Here is a 19,135-nt window from a genome sequence, read left to right on the forward strand (position 1 = left end):
TGCCTTAATAAATGGGTCATGTCCGATTTCATAGATAGATCCTGATTCTGTCTCCCATGTTCTGTTATTAACAATTACATTGTATTTTAGGTCATTAAAGGTCCCTTCAGAGCTAGTGATCTGGCAGGTTGAGCATAACAGATAAATACTTCTTCCCTGGGCTTTTTTGCCAACAATAGCTACTTCTCAGATTAAATACAAACATTTCACCAGGGACAAATATATATATATATATATATATATATATATATATATATATATATATATATATTTACATATATATTTTTATATATATATTATTTATATATATATATATTTGTATAGGCACACATACATGCACAATATATTCATGTTTCTATATTATGTGTTATCTGAATTACATATGTGTAACTCATAAATTATTAATAAACTCGAAACTTCCTCAACCTCGGTAGTCAGAGAATACATATTTAAGTGAAATATTATTTTTTAACTATCAAAATGCAAAATTTTAAAGATTTATAATACCTTCTTTTGGCAAAGTAGGGAGACACTGTTACTCTCATATCCTGTAGGTAAGAATATAAATGGATACAGCTATTTAAAAGGCAGTTTAAACCTATCAATATTAGTATAGCATTTCTGCTTTTGGATACTTGAAATATTCATTCAGCATAGACATTCAGAGACACACTGCACATGCTAGGATGTTCACATAGCACTGTTGGTAATTATACAAAAGCAGCAATAATTTAAATGTCTGACAGAGGAATGGTTATCTATGGTACATCTATATCATTCAGCAATTCAGAGAATAAAGATTTCTATGAACTAATAGAGAAAGGTCCCTAGGTCATGTTGTAAAGCAAGTTATAGAACAATACATGTATCACATTTATCCTGTTAAAACCTACATTTCATAAAAATATCTAATTAGAGGCTGGGCTCATGTCTATAATCCTAGCACTTTGGGAGGAGGCTGAGACAGGCGGATCACCTGAAGTCAGGAGTTCAAGACCAGCCTGGCCAATGTGGTGAAACCCAGTCTCTATTAAAAATACCAAAAATTAGCCAGGCATGGTGGCACATGCCTATAATCCCAGCTACCCGGGAGGCTGAGGCAGGAGAATTGCTTGAACCCAGGAGGCAGAGGTTGCAGTGAGCCGAGATGGCGCCACTGCACTCCAGCCTGGGCGACACAGCAAGACCCTGTCTCAAGAAAAAAAAAAATATATATATACACACACACACACACACACACACACACACACACACACACACATATATATTTAGCTAAAATCGATTAACAAAAACTTTTCCTAGTTGAGATCAATCTGAGAAGCAAATGATGCTTAGGAGGAGTTATACCATGGACACCTCTAATTTGTTCTTCAGATTTGTCCCTTTGAGGGTGTAGAGCAGATTCAGTGAAGTTCAATACAGTGGATGAGTTGGACATTAACTTAAATCCATTTTCCTTTCTGCTCATCCTACATAGAAAAATGTCTGCAAGGATACAGACCATACTGTTGTGACCACTGATGATGGTCAGCACTAGGGAAAAACAGCAGGTTTGAAGTGAGAAGGCAAAAGGAGATTTTTTTTTTTTTTAAGACAGGGTCTCACTCTGTCACCCAGGCTGGAGGGCAGTGGCATGATCATAGCTCACTGTAACCTCGAACTCCTGGGTTCCAGTGATCCTCCCACCTCAGCCTCTGGAGTAGCTAGAACTACAGGCAAGCACCACCACACCTGGTTATTTTTTATGTTTTTGTAGAGTTCTTGAATGTTACCCAGGCTGTTCTCAAACTCCTGGGCTCAAGCAGTCCTCCCACATTGGCCTCCCAAAGTGCTGAGATTATAGGCATGAGCCACTGCACCTGGCTGAGATTTTATCTTTTAACTTCTTGTTTGAATCTTTGTTTAACCAAGAACACACTCATAAGGCCAGGCATGGTGGCTCACACCTGTAATCCCAGCACTTTGGGAGGCTGAGGTGGGTGGATCACTTGAGGTCAGGGGTTTGAGACCAGCCTGGCCAACATGGTGAAACACCGTCTCTACTAAAAAATACAAAAATTAGCCGAGTGCAGTGGTTCACACCTGTAATCCCAGCACTTTGGGAGGCCGAGGTGGGCGGATCACCTAAGGTCAGGAGTTCAAGACCAGCCTGGCCAACATGGTGAAACCCCGTCTCTACTAAAAATACAAAAATTAGCCAGGCGTGGTGGCAGGTGCCTGTAATCCCAGCTACTCAGGAGGCTGAGGCAGGAGAATCACTTGAACCCAGTGGGTGGAGGTGGCAGTGAGCCGAGATCGTACCATCGCACTCTAGCCTAGATGACAAGAGCGAAACTCCATCTCAAAAAAAAAAAAAAATTAGGGACCGGGCACAGTGGCTCACACCTGTAATCCCAGCACTTTGGGAGGCCAAGGCGGGCAGATCGCCTGAGGGCCTGAGGTCGGGAGTTCGAGACCAGCCTGGCCAGCATGGTGAAACCCCGTCTCTACTAAAAATAAATAAATAAATAAATAAATAAATAAATAAATAAATAAATAAATAAATTAGTCAGGTTTGGTGGCGGCCACCTGTAATCCCAGCTACTCAGGAAGCTGAGATAGGAGAATCACTTGAACCCAGGAGGCGGAGGTTTCAGTGAACCAAGATCCGGCCACTGCACTCCAGCCTGGGCGACAGAGCAAGACTCGGTCTCAAAAAAAAAAAAATAATAATTAGCCAGATGTGGTGGCGCATGCCTGTAATCCCAGCTACTCTGGAGGCTGAGGTAGGAGAATTGCTTGAACCCAGGAGGCAGAGGTTGCAGTGAGCCAAGATCAGCCCACTGCACTCCAGCCTGGGAAACAGAGCGAGACTCCATCTCAAAAAAAAACAAAACAAAAAAAAAAACACTCATATTCCCATGTTTATACTTAAATTTAACTTTTTAAACAAATTTCTGATCAGTTTTTCTCAAAATACTAAAGTATTAACTTTTCTCACTATATCTAACTAAGTGTATATGCCCCTTCCAGATACAGTGACATGTTTAGATGGGTGTTTAATAAATACATTGATGATAAAAGAAAAAATTATATTTCCTATATTCAGATGACCCAAAACTACCATTTCCAAAAACATAATAAACCACAGTCTGAATTCTATACAGGAAAATGACACATGCTTCTCAGCTTTCAGGTATGACATTTTACCTTCTGTAAATAAATCCTACCCACTCCTAGGAGAGCCATGACCCACATGAAGGATGACAGTCTGATCACAGATGAGAATCTGAAGTCTAGGTATATAGTGTGCACCAGAAAGCCAGTGCCCGGTTCCTTGGGATCTTAGACACGGTATCAGAATCTTAAACTAGCAGTCCAGAAAATCCTCAGTCTTCTTCTATGAGATATTTCCACCATTCATGGTGTACCCCGCATAGATGTTTGTTCCTGTACTCCTATGATACCCTTCAGTGTTTGGGGAACACAGCATTGTTGGACCTATAGGGGAGACTACAGGTTTCCAAGTCATTATCTATGTTTAAATTCTGCTCCCCTCAGACAAGTACTTAATTCTTTAAGGGTTCCTTTAAGGGATTCTTTAAGATTACTCTAAGATGCAGAGTAATAACTACCTTTCCGGGTTGTTGATAATATTATCAATAAAGTGTGTAAAACACCTCAAACAGTAGTGATCTATCTCCTCAAACAGTGATCTATTTTAAAGTGATTATCAGGAGTCTGACACAGGTATAAAAAGTTTTTATTATCAGCATTGTACAGTATTCATAGATTTTATGAAGCATTCTCCAAAATATATCCTCCAAGGAGAGTAAGTCTGTTTTATAGAATACCATATGCCTGGGAAAGACCCAATCTCTAATTTTGTTTTGTTTTGTTTTGTTTTTTGAGACCGAGTGTCGCTCTGTCACCCAGGCTGGAGTGCAGTGGCGCAATCTCGGCTCACTGCAACCTTCGCCTCCCAGGTTCAAGCAATTCTCCTGCCTCAGCCTCGCAAGTAGCTGGGACTACAGGCACACGCCACCACGCCCGGCTAATTTTTGTATTTTCTTTAGTAGAGACAGGGTTTCACCATATTGGTCAGGCTGGTCTTGAACTCATGACCTCAGGTGATTTCACCCGCCTCAGCCTCCCAAAGTGCTGGGATTACAGGCGTGAGCCACTGCGCCTGGCCCCAATCTCTAGTTTTTACTACCCTTCTTTTCTCTCTTCTTCTTCCCTTTCTACATTAAGAAGCCCCTTCCTTAAATCCTAAGGTCCTTTTATAGGCAATCTTTGCAACTGATGAGTTTAATGCTGTTTTGTCCTCTATATAAAATTGTTAGCCTTTTCTGAGACTTCTCTGTTTCTTCATAGAGTCTTCCTTTTTTTTTTATTTCCTCCAGATGGCTCTTTTTATTAATTGACTTACAATAGGGGCAGGTCAGTTTGCTGGAGATAGGAAAATGTTGAAAAACACAGCAAATAAGACACAAGCTAAATATGCAGCAATTGCTATCCAAAACCTTGGATCTTTCAGCAGTGCTTTATCAAAGCAGCTAAACACCGTGTAGCCAATGGACATTCCAGCAAATCCACCTGCAATGTGAGCTGCAAAAGACACCTTGGGAGAAAAGGAGGGAAAATGGAAATAAGTGAAGACAATGCTAATTGTGTATTTCAGTTGCATCTCTCTTATTCAAACACAAATACCGTCACAGTTAAACAAGAGTCTTAAAGGTCTAGAGAACTAGGGGTAAGGCAAAAGAGACACAAAACTCCATGTGCACAGAGAGAAGGAGATACTCTGAAAGATACAAAGCTTAAAAATGTCATTTTCACCCATTCTTAGAGTACAAAAGACAGAGAAATTGTTTCTCATTCTTAATCATCATTGCATTTAAAATAATTCTATATAATGCCAACTAAGAGAATGGTTGAGTTGCCATGAGGGATCTCTATAGCAGCATAATCTGATTCCACATACATGGGGTTTCAGATTTAAAACACAAGTAATAACATACACAAGAAATACCCAAACAGAAACTACCAAATTCAAAGACAAATCACAGCAAAACTGGAAAATTTTGTCAATTTTCTTTATTGTCAACTTATAGAACTCAATCTTTCATTGCTGTTTTCCAATCTGTTTTTTTGTTTTGTTTTGTTTTTTGAAATGGGGTCTCAACTCTGTCGCCCAGGCTGGAGTGCAGTCGCATGATCACAGCTCACTGTAGACTCAACCTCTAGGACTCAAGCAATCCTCCCATCTCAGCTCCCCAAGTAGCTGGGACTACAGGCACATGCCACCATGCCTGGCTAAACCAACTGCTTTTTATTCTATGTGGACAGGAAAATCCATTCTCTCCTGTTTTTTGTTTTTTTGAGACAGAGTCACTCTGTCACCCAGGCTGGAGTGCAGTGGTGCGATCTCGGCTCACTGCAACCTCCGCCTCCCAGATTCAAGCGATTCTCCTGCCTCAGCTTCCCGAGTAGCTGGGATTACAGGTGACTGCCACCACGCCCAGCTAATTTTTGTATTTTTAGTAGAGACGGGGTTTCATCATATTGGCCAGGCTGGTCTCAAACTCCTGACCCTGTGATCCGCCGATCTTGGCTTCCCAAAGTGCTGGGATTACAGGCATGAGCCACCACGCCTGGCCATTCTCTCCTGTTTTGGAATAGCTACCAATATGGCAGGTGCAGTGAAGTAGAGCCAGTGATCAGGGCTGTGAGAGAGTTAAGTGGGAAGGACAATTCAAAAGTCTGATTTCCTTAAAAATTTTCTTAACTTCCAAATGGAAATTTGGCTGCCCTAAATCACAGCGTTGTAACCCCTATTTGATAACCCTTTTTGACAGTAAACTAATTTCTATTTTATAAAAGAAAGAAACTGAACTCACCGGAGACCCATCTTCAGGAACAAAGAACCTTCTATAGAGAGCAAATCCCATGTCCAACACAACTAGAAGGAAAAACACCCTGATAAAGGCTCAGAATCTCCACAGTAGTACACCAAATGTTTTTGGTTCCCCTCTAATAATAATAATACTAGCTATCATTTATTGATACTTAACTCTGTGACAGGTGCTTTTCTAAGAGATCTTTTAACTCATTAATCTTCATCACAACCCTGTGAAGTAGGAACTATCATTATCCCATTTTACAGATTTATTCATCCAACAAGCATTCATTGTCCTCTATGTGTCAGGCATTATTCTAGCTGGTAGATAGGCAGCAATGGACAGATCTAACAGCCCTGACTCATGGAGCTGACAAACTGTTGGGGGGTATGTGGGGGGGTGATTGGTAGGGAGGCAAACAAATAAGTAAAACATACAGTATGTCAAATAGTGCTAAGTGCTATGGAGAAAATACAAAGAGAAGAAGAAATAGGAATGCCAGTTGTCGAGTGTGATTTCCAATAGGGGTGTCAAGGAGGATCTCTTTGAGAATATGACGCTGGACAGAGGTAAGGGTCCAAGTCATGCTGCTATTTGACATAAGAGTGTTTCAGAGAGAGGGAAGACCAAGTACAAAGTCCCTAAGCAGGAATGTGCCTGGTGTGTTTGAAAAATACCAAAGCAGTTGAGCTGGCTGGATCAGTAGTTTTCAAAGTGGTTTTTACCAAGACCAGCAGCATCAGCTTCACCTGGAAACTTACTAGATATGAAAACTCTTAAACCCACCCCAGACCTACTGAACCAGAAAACTTAAGGGTGGGACTCAGCTTTCTGTTTTTGTTTTTGTTTTTGTTTTCAGAAGGTGAGTTGTACTCTCCTTAGTAGATTCCTACTTCCATGGCTGTGTTTTCCAACTACCAACTGTGGTAAAGTTGTTTCCAACAACTTTGTTTTAACAAGACCTCCAGGTGATTCTGGACTAGAGTTAGGGATAAGGTTGTGGGTGATGAGGTCAGACAGGTAGCAGGGGACAGATTATGTAGGGTCTATATGGGCCATTGTAAGGACTTCAACCTTTACTGAGTGATAGGAAGTCTTTGAAAGCTCTTGAGCACAGGAGTGACATGATAGATTTTGTTTGTTTGTTTATGACAGAGTCTCAACTCTGTCGCCCAGGCTGGAATGCAGTAGTGCAATCTCGGCTCACTGCAACCTCCGCCTCCCAGGTTCAAGCAATTCTCGTGCCTCAGCCTCCTGATTAGCTGGGATTACAGACATGTGCCACTATGCCCGGTTAATTTTTGTATTTTTAGTAGAGACAGCATTTCACCGTGTTGACAAGGCTGGTCTCCAACTCTCGAACTCCTGACCTCAGGTGATCCACCCACCTCGACCTCCCAAAGTGCTGGGATTACAGGCTTGAGCAACCACACTGATGGTTTTACAAAGATTATTCTAGCTGCCATATAGGAAGTAGACTATAAGGGAGCAAGAACAGGAACTGGAAGACCAGCTGGAAAAATACTATTGTAGCAATCGAAGTGAAGAAGGATGGTGGCATTTTATACATAAAGAAACCAAGACACCAAGACTCCACTCTCAGCCACCACACTAATTGCCTGTAATTACCATCGGGAGTTCTGAAGGTGTCAGGCCATGAAAGGAAATCATTCCATATTCTCCAATAAAACTGTGAGAGCCAGAAGTTAGGCAGTCGTCAAGTAAGTCGGATCTGCACTGCAAAAGGAGCTTCCGACTTCTTGGCCTAGAAGAACTCTGCCCTATATGTGTAGTGCTTGGAAACATCTCTTGCAGCTATCACATTCCACACCCATCCCCTAATTCCCTATGCTCTACTTAGTGAGCCACTGTGTCCTAGGAGATGAAAAGACCTAGTCCTTGCCTTTGGGAAAATAGCATCAGGACATGTGCTCTGACTAGATTCCCTTTCAATACTGTATTGATTGATGTTGAAGTCACTGGACAGAAATTGAGGTCGAGGAAATATTCAATATTCATTTAGTTGTAAATGACTATTACACAAAGTGCTAGATTCATGAGGCTATATAATATTTTCTTTTTTTTTTTTTTTCAAGACGCAGTCTCACTCTGTCGCCTAGGCTGGAGTGCAGTGGTGCAATCTCAGCTCACTGCAACCTCCACCTCCTGGGTTCACGCCATTCTCCTGCCTCAGCCTCCTGAGCAGCTGGAACTACAGGCCCATGCCACCATGCCTGGTTAATTTTTGTATTTTTAGTAGAGACGGGGTTTCACCATGAGATCTCCTGACCTCGTGATCCACCCGCCTCGGCTTCCTAAAGTGCTGCGATTACAGGCGTGAGCTACCGTGCCTGGCCCATATTTTCAATCATCATTTGCATTTCCTGGTCCACATAAATAACATGCCCATGGGTCTAGGAAAGTGTTTTTAAAAAACACTGCCACATAACTGGAAACAGTTACTTTGGCTTAGTCTTCCACAATAGGAGACCTCCTCTCAGAAAGTCTTTGTAACCATTAGTATGTCAATTTCTCCAACCAGTTTCTCTCATCTTGCCCCTTCCTATATCTGAGTCTGGTTCTTTCCTCTTTCTGCTTCCTAGGGGACTTTTCTTCTGGGTTGCTGCAGCCTCTAAACTGAGATGTGTCTTCCCACCTGAAAATAAGCCCTTATTCCAAGAAGCCAAACCATTGTCCTCCTTAAAAATTTAACATTTACTTTAAAAGAGTTGCCTTCATATGGATTTTTTTTTTTTTGAGACAACCTCGCTCTGCTGCCCAGGCTAGACTACAGTGGCATGTTCACGGCTCACTGCAGCCTTGACCTCCCAGGCTCAAGCGAATTCTCCCACCTCAGCCTCCTGAGTAGCTGGAACCACAGGCCCACACCGCAACACCTGACCAATTTTTTTGTAGAGACAGAGTCTCCCTATGTTTCACAGGATGGTCTCAAACATAATGCTTGATGAAGGAATGTTTTTTAGGGCAATTGCCATTTACAATTAAGAAGAATATTTACAACTTGGCTGGGCTCAGTGGCTCACGGCTGTAATCTCATCACTTTGGGAGGCTGAGGTGAGTGGATCACCTGAGGTCAGGAGTTCGAGACCAGCCTGACCAATATGGTAAAACCCCATCTCTACTAAAAATACAATAATTAGCCAGGCATGGTGGCATGCACCTGTTGACAGGAGAGGCTGAGACAGGAGAATTGCTTGAACCCAGGAGGCGGAGGTTGCAGTAAGCCAAGATCACACCACTACACTCCAGCCTGGGCAACAGAGCGAGACTCCGTCTCAAAAAAAAAAAAAAAAAAAAAGAAGAATATTTACAACTTTATACACATTACATATTACATATTACAAAATTATATACATTTCCAAAGAAACACATTTCAAATACAGATGCACTTATATTTTATTAATCTGGTATGTGTTGTAACTCTTCCCATTTTCAATAGTAGGTAAACCAGGCCAAAGAACTTTTAGAAATGAAGCAGACTGACTGAAGACCCCGTATCTCAGGTGACAACAATTCTGTGCCCAAACAATGTGTCCTCTGATTCTGGGTGTGACCCTGAACAACTGAGGAGGCAGCTCAGCTCCTGCAGCAGCTCTGCTGCCTCCCAGATACTCACTCTCCCTTCTCTTAGGTTTTGAATTTGTTATGAAGAAAAAAGTTAAGAATAGTATAAACTATAAACAAGTGAATTATTTTATCTCAGAGTGAAATATTAGCGTTCTTATATTTAAATGGTCAATAAACTAAAGAGTCCCTTCCCACAGACATAGTTGCCTCTGTTCCTGTAATGGGGATAATCGAACCCTTCATAGAAATTGCAAAATCCTGTTTTCTTACTATGTGGACAGCCAAAAACATCTTAGGCTTTATCAGGTATAACCTCTGCCTTGGCTTTCAGGTCTGACCCCAGGGTCTGTCATTCTTCCACAGCCCTCCAGGTGGAGAGAACTTCAACTGGAGCAGGTCTGTCAACACCAGTTACCACCCCCACCTTTGCTCTTGTTTTCTTCCATGCTCTATGGCCTGCTGTCATCTGGAATCTACCTTTACTCTCAGACTCAGCTGCACTTCCATCCCCTCTCCAGACAGCATTCTTCCTAACCTCCTTTAGCATGTGATTCTAGAATGCTTGGAGATTTCAAAAGCCACATTAGTCACCCTCTTGGTCTGGGCTTCTTGAACGGTTGCCCGCTGCCACCTGCCCCCCGCTCCCCCAACTCTCTATCATTAATCCTCAACTATCAGCTATCACTCAATACTTACTGGATCAGTTTTTTTTTTAATCTGAAAATTTAGAAATTGAGGAAGAAAAGAGATTATATCAGTGGTTTCCAAGTTTTCCCTCTGCAGACAAAATCACATACAGCTTCCAATATATGAAAAAGTCCAGTATATAAAATATAAGTGAAGCTATTGTGGTTCAAGTAGAGGGGGTGCCTAGGGCTCTATTCTCTTGGCTTCCCCCACTCCATAAAGATACTAAAAGCCAAAATACATCACGTAGGCATGTCTAAGAACCACCCATGAGAGCCTGTAAAACTCCTTCGTTTACTTCTTTCTGCTTAGTGCTGTGAAGTGGACAATTTTTCTCTAACTGTAGGCTTGCAGTTATTCTCCATGTTAGTGTCTGGGAAATGTGGAAAGGCCTTCTGAAGCCTAAACCAATCACATGGTGAAAATATTATGTGAGATGATTATGTGAAATAGGTCATTGTTGTCAAACCCAGCTAAATCAGAGTTGAGGGGCCAGGGGACAAAAGCACTCAGAGCACATAGCACTGCTCCAACAATTGAATTCTCCACAAGCCCAGCTGCCGAAACTACCTGTTCTAACCATAAGACTAGTTTTACCTAATAGCTGCTGAAACAAATTGAGTCTAAGAATCAGGTCTAAACAACACAAGTCTAAGACTAGTTCTCCCCACTACCATCACTCACCAACCAGCTCCCAAAGGCTGCTCTAGTGCCAATGAGCTTTCTTTCAAAATAATATGTAAAATTTATCTTTCTAATAAAACCCCCAGCCTTTTCTTTTGTACTTCAGACATACCATAGACCTCCCAGGTCTGTGTGTATGCCCCAAATTGCAATCCTGTGATTCCCAAATAAAATGTTTAGAGATTTGTCTCTATATTTTATTTTCACTTGGACAGTATGAAGTATTCACAAAACACACTTACTTATCAGGATGATGATCAGCAGTCTGAAAATTCCAAAGGCAGGAATCATTTCTTGAAAATTCTTAAAAAGAGATAAATAATAATTATATAAGCTATCTATGGACAAATGAAACCTCAACTCTACTCCCTCTTCATCTGCTCTTCATTTGAAATAATCTTCCAGTATCAAATATTTGCAAAACAAAGCATGAGTGTCACAGCCGAGTTTTTAAATGTATTTGGGAAGTACAATGCACTTTGGAGAATAAAATGACAAGACATTTAATTTAATAATATAAATGACACAATTTTGCTAGCCAGAAACAATCTCAATAAAAGTAATATAAAATCAGCACTTAACATGTCAATAAATAAATAGATAAATAAATGCTGTTAAACTAAGATTGATGAAATATTCATAAGATTTTTGGTTAATATTCATTTGATGTTTCTTCATCCTCTTTCCCAGTAGTATTTAGCAAAGACTTAACTGAGATTTGAGTATTACCTTAATTTTTGAGGTAATTTCAAAAACATTGAAAATATTCGTCAAAAATTATTGCAGGGTCTTTTGGGGGCGCTCTTGGGGGGGTTCTGTGAGGGGAGGTAGAAGACAGGGAGGATCTCACTCTGTCACCCAAGTTGGAGTGCAGTGGTGCAATCTATAGCTCACTGCAGCCTCGAACTCCTGGACTCAAGCCTTCCTCCTGTCTCAGACTCCTGAGTAGCTGGGACTACAGGTGCATTCCAGTACACCTGGCTCATTGTTGGATTTTAGCTTTGGGTCCCTTATGCGTCAGTGGCGAACTGCTGAGCGAGACATTTCTAATATAATTTATTGAATTACTTGTCCCTTCACTTTCAAATTAGTAACTCTCTTCCCAAGGAGTAAAGATGCTGAAATAGGCATGTTTACTCTAAATCAATTATTTTCAAACTCTTGTGACCATGACCTACAGTAAGAAATAATTTACATAACAACCCAGTACACGCATAAATCAAACAATAACACTGACTTTTTTTTTCTTGGGTTTAACTTTTGGCCACAGTTCCTTAAAGTGAGTCTACAACCACTAATGGGTTGCAATCCAAAGTTGAAAAAACCACTTTTCTTAGTGATTTCTATATTTGGAACAGTTTTATAATTGCTTTACACTTTTCTACCTAGAATTTTGTTGTTGTTGTTGTTGTTGTTGTTTGAGTTGGAGTCTCACTCTGTCGCCAGGCTGGAGTGCAGTGGCACAATTTTGGCTCACTGCAACCTCCACCTCCCGGGTTCAAGCGATTCTCCTGCCTCAGCCTCCAGAGTAGCTGGGACTACAGGTGCGTGCCACCACACCCAGCTAATTTTTGTATTTTTAGTAGAGACGGGGTTTCACCACGTTGGCCAGGATGGTCCCGATCTCTTGACCTTGTGATCCGCCCACCTCAGCCTCCCAAAGTGCTGGGATTACAGGCATGAGCCACCATGCCTGGCCTAGAAATTTATCCTACAAAAAAAATTTACACAAATGCAAAAAGATAAATGTAAAAAGCATTTCTTTTCTTTTTTTTCTTTTTTTTTCTTTTTTTTTTTTTTTTTTGAGACAGAGTCTTGCTTTGTTGCCAGGCTGGAGTGCAGTGGCATGATCTCAGCTCACTGCAACCTCCGCCTTCCAGGTTCAAGCCATTCTTCTGCCTCAGTCTCTCGAGTAGCTGGGACTACAGGCACACACCACCACACCCAGCTAATTTTTGTATTTTTAGTAGAGACGGGGTTTCACCATATTGGCCTGGATGGTCTCGATCTCTTGACCTCATGATCCACTCACCTTGGCCTCCCACAGTGTTGGGATTACAGGCGTGAGCCACCGCACCCGGCCAAGGGCATTTCTTATAGCATTACTTGTAAACATGAAAAGCAGGAATCACCCCAAATTTTTTTCAGCGAGAGATTCATTAAATAAATCATGGTGCATCTATATAGAGGATGCTAGGGAGCAGCTCTAAGCTGGGAGGATTTCTAAGCACTGACATGGGTAGATGGTCAGGATGCTCTATGATAAAATGCAGAACAATATAAGGGTGGTGTCATTGTTATAAGATTAACATCGGTAGGATTTTGAATACATGTAGAAAAAGGTCTGGGCTGCTCTGCCTATGAAGTAGCCGTTCTTTTATTCCTTTACTTTCTTAATAAACTTGGTTTCCTTTAAAAAATAAAATAAAATAAAAAGGGCTGAAAAAAATATATAAAACTGTTAACAACGTCTTTCACCACCCACCCAACTGTTAACAGATACTATATTGAGGACCTTAACTTTCTACTTTTTTATTTAAAATTTTATGTTGTACTCATTACTTTTGAAATGAGAAAAAAAATGATAACATATGAAAGGAAGCTAGGTGCGGCAGCTCACGCCTGTAATCCCAGCACTTTGGGAGGCCAACGTGGGCAGATCGCTTGAGCCTAGGAGTTCGAGACCAGCCTGGGCAACATGGCGAAACCCTGGCTCTACAAACAATAAAAACATTAGTCAGGCATGGTGGCCCACACCTGTAGTCCCAGCTATTTAGGAGGCTGAGGTGGGAGGATTGCTTGAGCCCAGGAGGCAGAAGTGCAGTGAGCCATTATCACACCACTGCATTCCAGCCTGGGCAATGGTGCAAGACTCTGTCTCAAAAAAAAAGAAAGAAAAGAAAGGAAACAAAATGGCATTGCCATACAATTCTCAGAAAATTGAGTGCTCAGTAAATATTGATAAATGAAGGTTCGTTGAAACAAAGAAGAGTTACTGTTTTCTGTTTTTTTAAGAGACTCGTGGACTCCATCCCCATGGTTCTTACCACCAGAACATTCATAAAATAGCCTCCCATCAGAGCATAGACTCCTCCTGAAGCTCCCACAAGATATCTGAGTGGGTCAAAGATGGAGCTGGCAAGGGACCCTAAAGAAATAAAACACAAAGGATCAGACATGACTATACGGATCAGGAAAGATAAATCTTTCTAATCTAAGGTAGACATTTGGGAAGTCTGGTCTATTATCACATTAGCAAGCAACAAATCTATTTTGCCCCTTTCATACCATAGAAGCATAGCTGTATATGCTAACTACCACAGTGTTTCTGAAAACATGGAATGTTCATTAGAACAGCAACATAGCAGTGACAATGGCAGAATCGTCTGGAGCCAGAATTACCAGCAGTGTGACTTGAGGAAGTTAGTTGACTTCTCTATGTCTCAGTTTCCCTACCTGCAAAATGGGGCTATTAATAGAACTTACCTTAATGGATTGTCAGGGTAAATAATGAGTTGATGTGTGTTTTGTGCTTAGAATACTGCTTGATGTGTATTATATATTTGTTAGCTATTAGGTTGGTGCAAAAGTAATTGCGGTTTTGCCATTACTTTTAAGGGCAAAAACTGCAATTATTTTTGCATCAACCTAATATTATTGCAAAATATCCTATGTTCAGTCAAAATACCTGAGACAATCCAACATTTTATTATCTAATAGCTATCTTTCTCAATGAGCCATAATGTGCCCTCAGAATCCTTCTCAACATACGATCCAATCAGATTCCCCAAGCAAGATGAATCCTAATTGCTAACCTAATCCTAGATTTACTGGACCAAAACAAGGCTTTGCAAACCACCTTATGCAAAGACTAAAATATTCTCTCTATACTGCTTAGTTCTATTACTTGGTCTATTCCTTTCAAGGTCTTCTTTCATTTCCTTAGTGTATGATACAAAACAATACAGTACCTATTTTGTGCAAGAAAAAGTGTCTGTCCTCAGTAATTTTACAAAGAGATGAGCAAACAACTATTATAAAGTACAGAATATAACAACTACTATGACAAAAATAAATTTATTGTAGAAGCACTTAGGAAGGAGTGATTTTCTCAGCAGAAGGGTGGAGTCCTTGCTACTCTGAGGAGGAGGAGATAGCATTTTCATTAAACTTTGAAGAATCTTTTTTTTTTTTTTTGAGATGGAGTCCCACTCTGTCGCCCAGGCTGGAGTGCAGTGGCGTGATCTCAGCTCACTGCAAGCTCTGCCTCCCAGGTTCATGCTATTCTCCTGCCTCAGCCTCCCGAGCAGCTGGGACTACAGGCGCCCGCCACCACGCCTGGCTAATTTTTTGTGTTTTTAGTAGAGACGGGGTTTCACCATGTTAGCCAGGATGGTCTCGATCTCCTGACCTCGTGATCTGCCCACCTCGGCCTCCCAAAGTGCTGGGATTACAGGCGTGAGCCATTGCGCCCGGCCTAAACTTTGAAGAATCTTTAAGATTGGCCAGACACTGTGGTTCACTCCTATAATCTCAGTGCTTTGGGAGTCCCAGGCAGGAGATTGCTTGAGGCCAGAAAGTCAGGAGTCTGAGACCAACCCGGGCCACAGAGTGATATCCGTCTCCAAAAATATAAGAAAAATATTAGCCAAGCATGGTGGTACCCGCCTGTGGTCCTTGCTACTCAAGAGGCTGAGCCAATAGGATCACTTGAGCCCAGGAGTTTGAGGCTGCAGTGAGCTATCATCGTGCCACTGCGCTCCAGTCTGGGTGACAGAGGAAGACCTCTCCCCTCACCCCCACACACAAAAGGATTGGATAAGAAAAACAAAAGAGAAGAAGGTATTCAGGACTTAGAGAACTGGAAAAGCAATGGCATACAAACAGGTATATGGATGACTGAAGATCAGTGAGAAGTAGTCCAGTAGGCCGGGCACGGTGGCTCACGCCTGTAATCCCAGCACTTTGGGAGGCCATGGCAGGTGGATCAGCTGAGCTCAGGAGTTCGAGACCAGCCTGGGCAACATGGCGAAACCCCATCTCCACTAAAAATACAAAAATTAGCCGGGCATGGTGGCAGACACCTGTAATCCCAGCTATTTGGGAGGCTGAGGCAGGAGAATAGCTTGAACCCTGGAGGTGGAGGTTGCAGTGAGCTGAGATGGCGCCACTGCACCCCAGCCTGGGCAACAAGAGTGAGACTCTGTCTCAAAAAAATTGAAAAAAAATAAAATTAGCTGGCTGTGGTGGCACATGCCTATAATTCCAACTACTGGGGAGTCTGAGGCACGAGGATCACTTGAACCTGGGAGGCAGAGGTTGCAGGGAGCTGAGATCGCACCACTGCACTCCAGCCTGGTGACAGAATGAGACTCTGTCTCAAAAAACAAAGAAGTAGTCCAGAGCAACTTAGAGCAATGATTCTCAAATGCTAACCTATAGACTAGGGCTGGGGTGATTATATCATAATCATATGAGAAATTTATTTTTAAAATAGATACAAATGTCTACTTCTGACCATGATAAGGTCACAAGAATAGGATTTGCTGTCTCACTTGAAAAAGCCAAAAGCACTGGACAACATATAGGAAAGAATGGTCTTCAAGATACTAGACATCAGAAAACAAAACCAGTAAACCCTTAGAGACAGGGAATCAGTTATTAATAGATGAGTTATCTGATTGCCCAGGTACTACCTTGAGGGAGATTACAGAATACAGCGCATGAAGCAGGAACCCAGGCAGATCTCAGCAAACTTTAAGTTGATGAGATGAAGTTTAGAGTCCAGATAGATCTGGACTGCTAGAGTTTACAAGACAGGGTACCAGAGAGCAGAAAGCTGCATACAGAAAACTCCAGAAAGGAGCATGCAAGGAAATTACCCAAGCCAAGGAAAGAACCACCAAAAATGAAGTGGGAAGACTACCTGTTGCTTACACAGCACCAGAGAGGCTAAGTAACTTTCTGTACTGGAAAACTCTTTTGTTTCCACACATCATAAGTCTGGGCATTTTATGACAGGTGAGTTACATCTCAATCTTAAAATATATCAGGACAAAACCACACACTGCAGAGGGGCAGGGCTCCACCACCAGTTACTCACTTCCCTTGAAACAGAAGCTCAAGTATAGAGTAGTCTTCTGTGACTAAGCTTGTTTTCCCTCCTTTCTGACTTCTAGGGATAATCCTTGTTTGAACAGGATTTGAGGTAATGTAGGAAACTGCTCTCAATACAGAATTTTTAACTTGATGAAGAAATTGGAAAGAAATCACAGTAGGAAAATCAAGTTTGATCAGGATGAAGTTAGCATACAAAGGAAGTGCAGCAAGGCCCAGGTACCCCCAGAGAAGGGACTCAGACGACAACCAGAGGGGGGCCAGGCAATCAGGGGCATGTCGCTAAGGTCAAAGGTGGGGCAGACCTTGGTCCCCTGCCCTCGTGGCCACCTTACCCAGACCATCCCAATAGCATGAACTGTCCTACAAGGTCACCTTACCTAGGGAAGATGGGGGGCAGTTTCTCAATGCTGGTGTTTGGTGAGCCCAAGAGTGCTCAGCCTTCACTGTCCTCCCTAACAGGCATGTGGGGCATGGGGATGCTGACCCCTGAACTCCTAACTGGGGTTGGAATTCAGGTCCCTTGGGAACACTGGGCACCTAGGGATGTGGGAGCAGGACTGGCCACAGCCAGGTTTCCCTTAGAAACAGACTGGTTGAATTAATGAACTGAACAAATGAACCAATGTGTTTTGCCCCAGAGAAAAGTGAGCTTTGTCCTGGGTGGAGTGATTGCCTTTGAAAAGCCATCAAGGCCACCTGCCAACAGCCGAGAGCTGAGCTGCTGTGTTCCTGGCTGACTCTGGCCCTTCCAGTCCTCCTCTGGGTCTGCCCCAGTCCTGCAATCTCATGGCCAGGGTGATAATGATGGCAGCAACACCATGGTCCTCGCTGCCCTTCCTGGGGCAGGAGGGCCCCAAGGACTGATAAGCCAAATCCAGGGCCGTCCTCCTCTGCTTTTCTGCCCTGCGACTTTTCTCTAGGTCCTTTCCTGCAAGCAGTGTGGGGATGTGTACTGGAAAATGCCATAATTAATGGGGCAATGCTCAGAGTACACAAAAGGGTCCAGTGGTGGGAATAATTACCATCTTACCAAAAAGAATCAAACTGCTTTCAAGTAACATAACTGAGTTACAGAACAAATCTAAAAAGTATTTATGGCCTGGAGCAGTGGTTCAGGCCTGTAATCTCAGCACTTTGGAAGGCCAAGGCAGGTAGATCACTTGAGGTCAGGAGTTCAAAAGCAGCCTGGCCAACATGGTGAAGCCCCTTCTCTACTAAAAATACAAAAATTAGCCGGGTATGGTGGTGTGCACCTATAATCCCAGCTACTCGGGAGGCTGAGACACAAGAACCCCCTGGGCCGAGTGCAGTGGCTCATGCCTATAATCCCAGCACTTTGGGACGACAAGGCAGGTGGATCATTAAGGTCGGAAGTTTGAGACCAGCCTGGCCAACATGGCGAAACCCCATCTCCACTAAAAACACAAAAATTAGCCAGGCATGGTGGTGCATGCCTATAATCCCAGTTACTTGGGAGACTGAGGCAGGAGAATCGCTTGAGCCTGAGAGGCAGAGGTTGCAGTGAGCCAAGATCCACCACTGCACTCCAGCCTGGGCGACAAGAGTTAGACTCTGTCTAAAAAAAGAAAAAAAAGAGTCACTTGAACCTGGGAGACGGAGGTTGCAGTGAGCCAAGATCATGCCACCGCACTCCAGCCTGGATGACAGAGTGAGACTCTGTCTCAAAAAAAATAAGTAAATAAAAATAAAAAATAAAAAGCATTGGCCGGGCAAAGTGGCTCATGCCTGTAATCCCAGCACTTTGGGAGGCCAAGGCAGGAGGATCACTTGAGGTCAGGAGTTCAAGACCAGCCTGACCAACATAGCAAAACCCTGTCTCTACTAAAAATACAAAAATTAACCAGGCGTGGTGGCACACGTCTGTAGTCCCAGCTACTTGGGAGGCTCAGGCAGGAGCACCGCTTGAACCCAGGAGGCAGAGGCTACAGTGAGCCAAGATCACATCACTGCACTCCAATCTGGGTGACAGAGCAAGACTCCATCTCTAAATAGATAAATAAATAAATAAATAAATAAATAAAATTTTAAAAATTAAAAAAGTATTTACAGGAACACAAAAATATGCACCATCCAACTAGATAAAATGTGTAGCATCCAATCAAAAATTATCAGGCATATGGTCGGCTGCAGTGGCTCACACCTGTAATCCCAGC

The 19,135-nt window shown here is 42.4% G+C and overlaps 1 protein-coding gene across 2 annotated transcripts in view; it reads right to left on the minus strand.

The window, feature by feature from the left end:
* Nucleotides 1-3,726: 3,726 nt before the first annotated feature.
* Nucleotides 3,727-19,135, minus strand: part of RHBDL2 (rhomboid like 2) — a 56,024-nt gene continuing 40,615 nt past the window's right edge. For both annotated transcript variants that reach the window (NM_017821.5, NM_001304746.2), the window contains exons 5-8: nt 13,889-13,989; nt 11,084-11,144; nt 5,883-5,944; nt 3,727-4,603 (exon numbers count right to left, since the gene is read on the minus strand). In NM_017821.5, the coding sequence (NP_060291.2) occupies nt 4,424-4,603; nt 5,883-5,944; nt 11,084-11,144; nt 13,889-13,989 (404 nt within the window). In that variant the 3' untranslated portion in view covers nt 3,727-4,423. The remainder of the gene's footprint in view (nt 4,604-5,882; nt 5,945-11,083; nt 11,145-13,888; nt 13,990-19,135) is intronic.

Source organism: Homo sapiens, chromosome 1 (genome assembly GCF_000001405.40).
Source record: "Homo sapiens chromosome 1, GRCh38.p14 Primary Assembly".
Lineage (NCBI taxonomy): Eukaryota > Metazoa > Chordata > Mammalia > Primates > Hominidae > Homo > Homo sapiens.